The sequence below is a fragment of the Homo sapiens genome, chromosome 11, assembly GCF_000001405.40.
Source record: "Homo sapiens chromosome 11, GRCh38.p14 Primary Assembly".
In the NCBI taxonomy this organism is placed as follows: Eukaryota; Metazoa; Chordata; class Mammalia; order Primates; family Hominidae; genus Homo; species Homo sapiens.
The window spans coordinates 68,147,422-68,159,992 of NC_000011.10; the positions used below are offsets into that span (position 1 = coordinate 68,147,422).

The 12,571-nt window shown below is 46.4% G+C and overlaps 1 protein-coding gene across 18 annotated transcripts in view; it reads right to left on the reverse strand.

Annotated features, from left to right (window-relative positions):
- Positions 7,442 to 12,571, reverse strand: part of KMT5B (lysine methyltransferase 5B) — a 58,786-nt gene continuing 53,656 nt past the window's right edge. For all 18 annotated transcript variants that reach the window (XM_047427072.1, NM_001369430.1, XM_011545092.4 and 15 more), the window contains one exon: positions 7,442 to 11,750. In XM_047427072.1, coding sequence (XP_047283028.1) covers positions 10,267 to 11,750 — 1,484 coding nt within the window. In that variant the 3' untranslated portion in view covers positions 7,442 to 10,266. The remainder of the gene's footprint in view (positions 11,751 to 12,571) is intronic.

The following is a 12,571-nucleotide window of genomic DNA, read 5'->3' on the forward strand; positions in this document are numbered from 1 at the left end:
AGGCCTGGATCTCTCTGCTCTGGGAAGACACCCAGCCCTGGAATGGTTGGGCCACACTTGGGGCTGGGGGCCAGGAGGAAGTTGGAGGGCTGGGCTGGGGCTGGGGCTGATTAGTTGAAGCCAGTAGAAAAGTACAGGCTTTGCTATTAGATTCCAGGAAATAACAAAAGCTGCTAACAGTTACCGAATGCTTACCACGCACCCGACGTGGTGCTCACGCATCTTTTGCTGTTTTATTTCATCCTTAGTGAGTTGGGTACTATTATCATCTCCATTTTACAGAGCAGAAACTAAGGCTCAGATAGGAGACGCTGCAAAATCAGGAGGTGGTGAAGACAGAATGTGCCCCTAGGGTGCTGATCAGGGCCCTCACCTAGAGGCAGATGCCCCCATCTCCTAAGGTCAATGGTCCTCAGCTATCATCCCTTTTTTTTGTTTTTTGAGGTGGAGTCTCGCTTTGTCGCCCAGGCTGGAGTACACGATCTGGGCTCACTGTAAGCTCCGCCTGCCGGGTTCACACCATTCTCTTGCCTCAGCCTCCTGAGGAGCTGGGACTACAGGCGGCCGCCACCACGCCTGGCAAATTTTTTGTATTTTTAGTAGAGACAGGGTTTCACCATGTTAGCCAGGATGGTCTCGATCTCCTACCCGCCTCAGCCTCCCAAAGTGCTGGGATTATAGGCATGAGCCACCACGTCCGGCCAGCTATCATCCCCTTTTAAACTTTCTGGACTGGCCACGCTGAACTTCTCACCCTCCTTTCCATAAGACACCCTGTCCTTCCATGTCTCCAGGACTTTGCAGGTGTCCACCGCCTCTGCCCTTTGGGCTTATGAACTCCTATTCATCTCTCAGGACCCTTCTTAATTTTACCTCCTCCATGAAGCCTGCTTTGCTTGGTTCCCCAGCAGAAACAGGGGGCACTCTCCTTGGTCCTCCTGCCACGCTTCTTCCACACATGCATCCTGGCAATTACCACATTTTACTGATGTTCGTGTGTGTTTCCCTGGAGGGAAAGGAGTGGGTTTCAATCACCCCCATATCCCCTGTGCCTTTTGAGTGACCAGCCGTTATTCGGCACTCAAATAGGGAAGGCTGTCAGGGGAGCAGCTGACTGCAGAGAGACTGCCTTGGAAGGAGGAGAGGCCCGGGGGTGGAGCGGAGGTTTCGGGTAAACAGAGGCGGCCTGACTGACAGAGGGGCATCAGCCAGGGGAAAATAGAACCGGGATCCAGGATCGTCTGAGTACGCAGCTGAGCTGGAGAAGGTTGTAATGAAGGCAGTTTGAGCAGGTGTCAGCTGAGGAGGGCAGAGGTTAGGGGCAGAGCAGGGCGCATGAGGTGTCTGGGGTGCACCCACAGACTGTTGAGGCAGGACACGGGTACCAACTGACTTGGGTGCCAGACCCATGTGAAGGGCACGATGGGCACTCTCCTGCTGAATCCTCAACAAACCCAGAGCGCTTTCACTCCCTCTGCTTTACAAGTTACAAATCTGAGGTTTGGGAACAAGTGAGGCAGGGCAGGTGCCCCCCAACCTTGCCCCAGGCCAAGTGGGTGCCTGAGTCAACTCTGGTCCACTTGGATGACAGTCATGTGCCACCACACCTAGCTCAGCCTCCCCAGCTTGCCGCTTACCGCAGAAGAAAAACATGGTTTGACTAGCAAGAGGAGGAAATTAGAGTTTTGTGTATAGAAGAGTCACTCTGGGCCGGGCGCAGTGGCTCACACCTGTAATCCCAGCACTTTGAGAGGCCAAGGTGGGTGGATCACTTGAGGTCAGGAGTTTGAGACCAGCCTGGCCAACACGGTGAAACCCTTTCTCTACTAAAAGCATAAAAATTAGCCGGGTGTAGTGGCAGGCGCCTGTAATTCCAGCTACTCGGGAGGTTGAGGCATGAGAATCGCTTGAACCCAGGAGGTGGAGGTTGCAATGAGCCAAGATCGTGCCACTGCACTCCAGCCTGGGCGACAGAGTGAGACTCTGTCTCAAAAAAAAAAAAAAAAAAAAAAAGGAAAAAGAAGAGTCACTCTGGAGAACAGCTAAGTCCAAGACTCCTGGCCTGTAGCTTCCAGTCACGTTCTATCAGTGCTCAACTTGCCATCCCCACTGAGGCTGGTGTGATGAAATCAAAATTACCTGACCCCGGCCTGCTGCTCAGGGAGTAACCACACTCATGAAGAGTGGCAAAAGTGTAACGTGCTTTGCAGACGTGCTTATGAGATGTAAATTGCCTTTCGGTAAATAGAACCCTGCTTCCCATTCATGTAATTATAGCTTCCAGCCTCTGCCCCATGAGAGAAAACACTTGTCCTGAGGGGAATCACAGTAATAATTTAGAGAATAACACAAGAAACCTTCTCCTCATCAAATGCAGTTATTCCTTTGCCCCGGATGACATTTCTGTCAAGTCGCTATTAAAATCACCAAGTCCAGGCTGGGCATGCTGGCTCACACCTGTAATCCCAGAAGTTTGAGAGGCCGAGGTGGGTGGATCACTTGAGGTCACGAGTTCAAGACCAGCCTAGGGAACATGGTGAGACCCCGGCCCCCACCCCCATCTCTACTAAAAATACAGAAAATTAGCTGGGTGTGGTGGTCTGTGCCTGTGGTCCCAGCTACTTGGGAGACTGAGGTGGGAGGATCGCCTGAACCCAGGAGGTCGAGGCTGCAGTGAGCCAAGATTTCACCACTGCACTCCAATCTTGGGCAACAAAGCAAGACCTTGTCTCAAAAAAAAAAAAAAAAGAAAGAAAGACAGGAAAAACAAAACAAAACGAAAAAAACACTAATCGTCAAGTCCAGCAGCCTGCCTGGCTGGAGGAAACCTCGGACTTCCTTTGCTGTCTCTAGGCATGCTCCGCTCCCCTCCAGTTTGACTCACCCTTTCAGATAACAAGAGGCCTGCCCCCATGGAGTGCCTGAGGGCCAGCAAACACCTGTGGCTTCCTAGGAGCCCGTGCTTTGGGCAGTGGCACCTCTCCCACTTTTCAAGCTCCCTAAGCATATTTGACAGTGGGCGTGGATCACCCCACTTATCTGGGGCATAATCTTTAGACAGACTTCTCCTGGCCCCACATAACTGCATGGAAAGTGGGTAGAAAGCAATGATTCCTATTTTTCGCCCATAGGGATTCTTTTTTTTTTTTTTTTTTTTTTGAGACAGAGTCTCGCTCTGTCACCAGGCTGGAGTGCAGTGGCGTGATCTCGGCTCACTGGAACCTCCGCCTCCCAAGTTCAAGCGATTCTCCTGCCTCAGCCTCCCAAGTAGCTGGGACTGCAGGCGTGTGCCACCACACCTGGCTAATTTTTTGTATTTTTAGTAGAGACAGGGTTTCACCGTGTTAGCCAGTTTGGTCTCGATCTCCTGACCTCATGATCTGCCTGCCTCGGCCTCCCAAAGTGCTGGGATTACAGGCGTGAGCCACCGTGCCCGGCCTTTTTTTTCTTTTAAAGAGATGGATCGGTCTTGCTATGTTGCCCAGGCTGGACTCCTGGGCTCAAGTGATCCTCCAGCCTCAGCCTCCCAAGTAGACCCACAGGAATGCCGAGGAGACAGAGACTTTCAGAATCACCCTGGCAAAGGTGGGGCTGCGCAGCTGGGGCTGGGGGTCTCTGGAACACTGGCAGCTCTGTGGTCCTTACCTGTGCTCTCTAGATATTTGAGATGAGCCTGGGCAATATAGGGAGAAGCCCGTTTCTACAAAAAGTAAAAAAATTAGTGGGGCATGGTGGTGCGCACCTGTTGTTCCAGCTACTCAGCAGGAGGCTGAGGCAGGAGGATTGCTCAGGTCTGGGAGGTCAAGGCTACAGTGAGGCATGGTCACACCACCGTACTCCAGCCCGGGTGACAGAGTGAAACCCTGTCTCAAAAAAACAAAACAAAAACAAAAAACAAGCTGGTGCCTTGGAGCCTGGGGTTAATGTCTGCCTCTGTCACTTGCCACCAGCTGCACAATCTCAGGCAGGCCGATTTCCTTGTTTATTAAGGCCCCAGAGCACCACCACCCTGAGTGGGGTATTCCCCGTTCGTTTCCCCACAGGCCCAGTTTCTGTATGGCTCCCTGTATGGAGTGTGGTAGCCCCCCAAGGCATGTTGCTTTGTTCCCTGAGCCCCAGAAGCCTGCACTCACTGGAAGTCCACTGGAGGCCCACCATGAAGGTTGTCTGCCATCCTCTTGGGTGACCCATGCCATGATTTCTCACAACTGTGACCACTCCACTACCAGGGTCCCGACTAGGACCTTGTTCTCACAGGAAAGTGTGGCCCCTCCAGAGCTCTGAGCGCCTGTTCTCCGCCTGCCCTCCACACTTGCTTACTGCTCCAATGCTTGGCAGTCCTCTGCCCACAGGGAGCCTCCAGGATTCAAACACCTCCACCTTCACCTGTCTAGTGACCCACTCAGCTCACAGACTTGCCTTTTCTTCCCTAACCTGCAGGTATGCACGGCTTCTCATGCAACCCCTTCTCCTGCCAACCTGAACCCTAGGGCCCCCAGCCCTGCTGTCTTCTGTGGTCTCCACCTGGGTAAAGGCCCACGTGTGCCTGAGAGGCTCACACCTGTGCAGGGAAGTGCTGGCCACCAGCCTGGGCTCAGGACACTGACCTGGTACCTTGAAAGTGATGAGTAGATATTTCTTTAATGAATGATAACTAGGTTTCTACAGTCAGCATGCTTTCCCATTCTCAATTTCAAACCTCCTTCTTACTCCTCAAACCTCCTGGCCCTCCTGTCTTCACTCTCATCTGCCTCCTACTTACCAGACAAGAGAAAACCTCACTCTGGACTGGCTCCCTCACCACATCCCAAATCCTCTTTTCCTCCTGGAAGGAAGACGGATCTACTCTCTGAAGACCCCCCTGAGGCCCTACTCCAAGTAACTCCTTCACTTTCTTTCTCAGAACACACTTACTATGCAAGCTCCCCGCCTCCAAGATTCAACTTGGGTCTCCTATTAATGAAATGAACCTCCTCCCTTCCCAGTGGTCATCCTCTCTCGTTCCTCCTTCACAAACTTTGCCTCCACCCTCTCAACCCATCCGGCTCTTCCTTGAAGCACTGACCTAAGCTCAGCTCTCCGAAGTCGAGGACCAACAGCGGGGGAGCAGCCTTTCCTGCCGCCCCCAGGCCTCAGTGAGGGTGGGTGCAGGGGCTGCCCTCAGCCAGCTCCCTAGGCTAGCTCACTGCTGTGGTCTGAGCATGGCCCCAGGTTCATGCTGGAAACTCAGCCCCCAGTGCAACAGTGTGTTGAGAAGTGGGGTCTAAGAGGCAATTCGGTCATGAAGGCCCTGCCTCATGAATGAATGGATTAATGCCATTATCGTGGGAGTGGGCTCCCAATAGAAGTCAAGCCCCTTCCCCTCTCTGCAGCACGGGACGATGCAGCAGAAAGGTCTTCCTCGCCAGAATCGGCCCCTCCATCTTGAACTTCCCAGCCTCCAGAACCATGAACCAAACAAACGTCTATTGGTTCTAAATTGCCCAGTCTGTGATATTGTGATAGCAGTACAAAGAGACCAAGACACCCACTCTCATGGCTTTGATTTTACCCCACATTGAAGATTCAAATCTTGTTCCCTGCTCCAAACCCCAAGAACGTACTAGGTGCTCAAACAACACGGAAGTGCACCTTCACTCCTGCCACACTGGGCCCCAGCTGCTCAGGGCCTCACACTGGTTCCAGCGGTCTGGTGTGCCTGAGCAGGCCCAGCAGCGCTCTGCCTCCCTTCAGCCAGAGTAGACTCAACAAGGTGGGCTGCCCCAAAAAGACCTAAGTCACTGTTTACTGCAAGTCAGCTGAAAACCCCACAAACCTGGCAAGGAGGACGCGGGATCTGGCAACAGATCTGGCTTTTTCAGAACATTACCAAAGCAATCTCTACGGGCCTGCGTCTGTCTTCTGTCCTCCAGATTAGCAGCTTTACAACAGTTTCCATGAATATGTGTTAAGCTTAACGGCCTGGGAGAAAATAAGTGGCAGATGGTGGAGGCAGTGTTAGTGAGCGACCCCCTTTCCCAGTCTTGGCCATTCACACACACTGCCCCTAGCAATCCCTGGTACCCTTTTGGAAGAATCCAAATTTACTTTTCAGCCGGGCATGGTGGCTCATGCCTGTAATCCCAGCACTTTGGGAGGCTGAGATGGGCAGATCACTTGAGGTCAGGAGTTCAAGACCAGCCTGGCCAACATGGTTAAACTCCATCTCTACCAAAAATACAAAAATTAACCCAGCATGGTGGCGGGCGCCTGTAGTCCCAGCTACTTGGGAGGCTGATGCAGGAGAACCGCTTGAACCTGGGAGGTGGAGGTTGCAGTGAGTCAAGATTGTGCCACTGCACTTCAGCCTGGGCAACAGAGTGAGACTCCGTCTCTAAATCAATAAATTTCCTTTTCCCCTGGGCTCTATCATTAGCAAACACAAGTAATGCCCATGTGCTCTAGGACATCAGGGAGGGAGTAAACCTCACCTTCCTTTGCATGCGAGGGTCACACGTGCCATAGTCACAGGGAGTGCCCTGGAGCTGGCAACTTGCTTGTACTCTGCTCTGGGTGCGACTGGGTTCTGCAGCAGAGTACGCAACGGTGCAGCAGGTCAGTGACAGAAAGTTGACATTTGAGAAACGAGTCACACAAGGGCTCCCGGCAAGTTAGCTACCATTGGCTATTGGAAGAGTAGAGAGAAAACCTGAGATGCTGAACAAGACTCCTAAGTACTTAACAGACATGCCACGCTTAGCCTTTTTCTATACTGGGAACCCAAGTTTGGGTGGATACTTCAATCAATTAGGAAAAATCAATAATCAATACTTGACTAGTCCCGTGTGTGCAGCACTCACCCAGATTATCCTCATGAGTGAATGCAGCTCAACCAGAAACTTAACTGATGACGGGACCAGGCGTCCACACTGATCTCCGGCACAGAATGATGCTGGGTGCCAGGAAAGAGATGTGGAGATTAAGCAGCTTGCTCAGGGATACTCAGATGTTGCAGGTTTCCTCTCTCCTGTACAGTCATATTTCAACAGTAAATGGGTGAAAAAAGGACCCAGGCCAGTCATGAGTATGCTAACTTTGACCAATACGGAGAGGGGGGAAAAAAACAACTCCAAGTAATCAGGAACTATTAATGCATTTGGGTTGCAAAAGCCTTCGATGTTATTGTGCTCCATGTTGAGGGCAAACATTTCTTGGGTTCAAGGACTAGGAAGGTATGTAGTTTAGTCTCCCTACTAAAAGAAGAATGTATGTTTACCCTCTCTTCTCTTAAAAATGAGTGGCACCAGACACAAGAGACCAGGGCCCAGAGAACTCAACACTCACAGGTATTGAAAAGCTTTAGAAATTGATTTTACAAATTGTTTTACATGAAAATTTTGTGGAGAAAGTCACCACTTTGATCTTTTTTTTTTCTTTTCAGATACAGTGAACACCGGCCAAATTGTTTTAATTTCCGAATTTATTAAAATGATTAACCTCAATACTGCAAGTGCATGTACAAAATATTTGTAAAAAATGTTTTTAATGAAACGTTAAAGAACTTACCTCAAATGCTGAAAAAGTCCTTTTTCATTCTTTCAGTACAAGGAATACATTGTATCTCAAAAGTATTACAACTCAGCAAAAACAATTTATAACAGTAATTTGAAAATGATTGAAAATTGAATACTTTACATATATTTCTATGATCATCTCCTAATTCTTACAATGCCAAAATCTTAACCAATCATTGCATAAGCTCAAGCTAAGAGTTTTATTGAATGCAACCTCTTCTAAACTGGTCAACGGTGTGTGGCTGTCACCATTCCACACGGTGAAGTTCTACAGCAGATCCGGAACAGTTCCGAGGCCCCTACCTTTACCAACGGAAATTAGGTTTCCCTAGAAGGCATCAACAGTGGCTGCTGAGTGCTTGTGCATACCGACTCCTGAGAGGCAGTGATTTACTACCAAATGTCACTGCTTTGAGACCCATGGGAAGGTTGGCCTCCAAAGAGGAGGCCATGATAAAATTAAAACATCAAAAATAAGTTACTAAAATTCAGCTGAAAAATGAAAATGGGAAATGTGTTTTGTCACTTTTTAAGATCGAAATTCCCAAAATAGCTATCGTTGGTATTCAAATAAGGTTTAAGATTTAGTCTCTGAACCTCTTCAAAACACCCCAAACTAAGGTGGGAATACAAGAGGTGACCCGCTGCCCTCCAGCACCTCCAGACACAGGGTCTACCTTCATCTTCCTCAGTGGCAGGGGTTCACATTTCTATGCAGGGACCCCATGAGGGCTGGACGTGCTCTGCAAAGTGCTCCGGGTGCCTCGGACAGGTGCTCCTGAGAGGCTGTGTGGGCTGCCCTACTTCACTGTTGAAGACCTCCAGACGCAGTGAACGGGGGTATGGGTGGGTGTGGAAGAAGGTCTACCACATGCTTTCCAAACGCCTGAGGAGTTCGACTGCACCACAACAAACAAGGATGAGACTATGTAAGACTGCAGAAGTAGTTCCTTAGAGAACCAGGAGAAAACAATCTACTTTCTAAAAATGTTCATGAGTCTTAATTTCTATTTGGAACCTATGGGCAATCAACAGTCTTAAGGAGCGTCATTGAAACAATATCCCCCCAAACCTGGAAACTAGTAGGAATCAATTAGTAGTAACAGTAAGCATTGAGATTTTCTCCACTGGACTTTTCATGACCTTCAGATTCCTTTTCATATTTCAAGACATGGGCTACTTTCCTATAGACACTATACAAATCCCCTGAATTGATTTTTACTTAGGAACACTGTATATCAGAAAGTACAGGTACACATTTCCCAGAAATAAAGAGACCTACTGGTGTCAAACACCTGTTACAGATTTATATTCCCAAATTCTCTGTCCAATGATTTGCAAAATAATCCAGAGAAATGAAAAGAACCTGGTATTGAACATAAAGTAGTAATAAAAATTTGCTCATTAAGTTAATTAAAATTAATTTCTCAAAGTGCTTCAAAAAACAAATTAAATCTGACTCCTTTTTGTTTAACTGATAATATAGTCAAAAAAATCTTTGATGTTTTCATAATAAACTAACATAAACTAACATAAGCCAAGAACTCCCACTGATGCAGTGCTTAAAACTATATATTTATAATTTCCTATTTTATTGGCATGAATATTTCTAAACTTAAAAACCTTCCTGGTAAGTTCTTTTAATTTCTTATGACAAAAATTTCTCACAACACACAAATATTTACAACATATACATTGTTTTCAGTTCTTTACATTGAATCTCAAAGACAAACTTTTTTTATAGGTTACCACAGAACAAAAGCTGTGACTCATGTTTTTATTTCATAAACTATTATAAGTTAAAGTGAATAGATTTTTTTAATATTCCTTGTAGCATTTTACAAGTGCAACAGAAAACTTGAAGAACCAAATTAAGATAGCTGTAGTTCATTAGATAAATGTTGCTTGTTGTCATCACGTTGTTCACAGCAAATTTTTGAAAAAATAAGCACCAATCATTCTTGCAAAGAACAATTTTATCTAAAAGGATTGAAAAGAGTTAAATACAAGGTTTTTAATTTACATGACAAGCAATAAATACGCTGTATCGAACCTCATCCCACACACTGCTACCCTCGTACATATAATGAACTGAAAAGTGAGCTGTCACGTATGTCATTTTTTTTTTTTTTTTAAGAAACCAATCTGACTCCCAACCAATGGTTTGCGATATTAACAAAGGCCACAAACAGTACACCTGGGCCAGCAAACAGTGTGAAACTGACAAAACTCCAAGGGGGAAACATCTAGCAAATAAATCAAAAAGCCAAAGATCATTGCTGGTGATATTAGCATACTAGAAACCCTTAATATGCTGCTACTATGATTTGTTTTAAATTATTGTTTAGTCATATATTAAAGAGCCAGCTGATGCTCTTACAGTTAAAAAAACTGTGTAGCCACATTACTGTTTTCAACGTCCTGTGTGGAAAGTTGCTATCACTGTACAATTTTGCTTGAGCCTTTATTTTACAACAGGGCTTTACCTCTAACTCAGAATTGCACGTAAGAAGGCTATTTAAAAAGTACGATAAAAATTTGCACAAATCAGACTTAAGAATTGAGTCAGTATGCTGTACACTTTCTACAATAGTATGCTGATAAGTGAAGGGACAATAGAAGTGCTGCCACTAAACTTTCAGTTGAGGAATAATTGACTGGAATTTTTTATTTCTTTAAAGTAGTTATCCCAGGTCAAGTTAAGACCAAGAGCTTAGGCATTAAGCCTTAAAGACTGATCTTCTCTTCTCCTTGAAGAAATGTCAATATCTATAGAGTCTTTTCCAACTATTAACCTCAAGCGCTTAGCTGGAGGAAGAGGAATAAAATCGTCTTCAAAGTCATCATCATAGTCATCCTCCTCTTCATCGCCCTCAGAAGAGGAGGAATCATCTGTACTTTCTTCCTCATACTGACTATAGTCATCCACCTCCATTCGAGACTCCAAGAGAGAAAGAGGATCACTGCAGCACACCCCATTTTCATGAAGCCCCTCTGTATAAGACCCCCTATTTTCCTCATCTCGTTTTAGCTGGATTTTTAATTTTGTAGAACTACTGCCTGATCCTGAGTTAAATCCATTATTAAGCTTTGCTACATAGAGATTGTTATCGTTGTCATGGTCTTTGCTTAACTTGATGCTTATTTTGGAAGAGTTCATTCCATCATTCTCTTGGTCATTTGTTTTGCTGCTGCTATCATGACGCCTACGAAGAGTCAATTTGGGAATCCCAGAGTTATTTTCTAGGATTAACTGTGCATCATACCTTGTGATTCGCCTCTTCTTTTTACTTTTTGCAGTTCTAAAGCTGTCTTTTGTTTTGAAGCTATCTGATGTCACAACTGAACAACCGACGGGTGAAGGAGCACAGTCTGTGTAGCTCACAGGCACGCCCACAGTGCCACTGTGCTCACCCTGGTCAGAATGGGGACCCATCAAATCTGGTACCGCGTCGTCTTTTCCAGGAGAATCGTGCACTGGAGTAGATTCCTCTATTTTTGCAAACTGTTTCACAAGTTTTCCTTGTCGTGACTTCTTTTTGGACATGCCTGTGTCACTCTTATGACACTTTGCCTCCCCTTTTTGTGCAGTCTCATGAGCCAGTTCTTCCTCCTGCAGCACAGGAGCTGGCTGCAGCTGTTCACCACTGTCGGGGCAAGGTTCCGTCACACTGCTTTTATAGCCATTCAACGTATTTGGTTCAAGCTTGATGTCAGAGGCCTCCTTCAGATTTGTTCTTGTCCTCACTGACCGCCGAGTTATGTAGGTGCAGGGCGAGCTCTCCCCCTGCGAATGAGCACCTCTCACAGGATTCTGTCTGTGTTCTCTCGCCGCGTGTCTAGTCAAGCACCCGCTGGCAACTGCGGCTTGGGCTGGTCCCTCTGGCTCCTTATCTTTTTTAATGGGCAAATTTTTATACAGAACTACTTTAGGCTCTTTCAGTACTAAGTTTCCCATTTCGAGTTTTCTTGAAGCATTCTTTTGCTCCAGCCGCTTGCAATGATTTCTCAATTTTATCTTTGAAAGTAAAGGCTTTGCAGGCTTCTTCAGTTTCTTTGGTACCCTGGAATTATTTATATGAGTTAGCTTAGATGAGGTAGAGTTGGAAGAAGCTGGAATTCTTGACATAGATTGCCTCGTTAACGTTCTGCTCTTGCTATTCTTTTTTACGCCAACTGAAGATTTTCGGTTAGAAGCTGTAAGGTTAAAGAGAAAAAGGTGAAAAGCCTTGGTAACAGCAGAGTTCAAGAAAAGAATGCCCAAACCCAGGCTATTAGCTACAGCACGTTTAGATTACACAAACGCCAACACCACGGCTCCTGCTGCAGATTCTGCCAGCGCACCTGCATTCCCTACACTGCTTCTCTTTGAAGTTCTTTTCTAATTTATGGGGCATCTATTCATTTTTGAGGTAAGTAGTTGCACGGTTAAGGAGCTTTTCACAGCAGGGACCTAGATTCCACTCTAAGCTTCTTAATCTGTCGTGACACTGGCCCAAACGAACGCTTTCTTCTCCTGATTTAGTAGTTTCCCACATAAAAGATTTCAAAGAAAGTTAACATGGTTTTTTCCTTTCACAGATTCTCCTTAGTCATTTAAAATGTTTCTAAAATCCATTGCTCATTAACCTAAAGGAAGTACAGCACTTGGCCATTAACATAGAGTAGAAATAGAATACTCATGGGCTCTAAGGAACAAATTCTATCGCAATGGTTTCAAACAAGAAAAACAGATGCTAAGAACCATATATTATCACTCTGAAAAGTACAGTCACTACCGAAAAAGAAATGCACTATTCTAAGTTGTCCCCTTCAACTCCGTGAGGAACAGAAGAGGCAACCAGTGGGCTGTCAACTTAGAAGAGCTGCAAAGCTTACTCAGCCCCATCCCTTCAGTGACGGCCAGATGCCAACAATCACAGTGAAGGAAGATGCACGCTGCTAGAATTGTACACTCTCAGGACAAAGGGAGATCCAACTTCTTTCCTCCAAGGCCAGGATAGAAAAGGGTTACAATG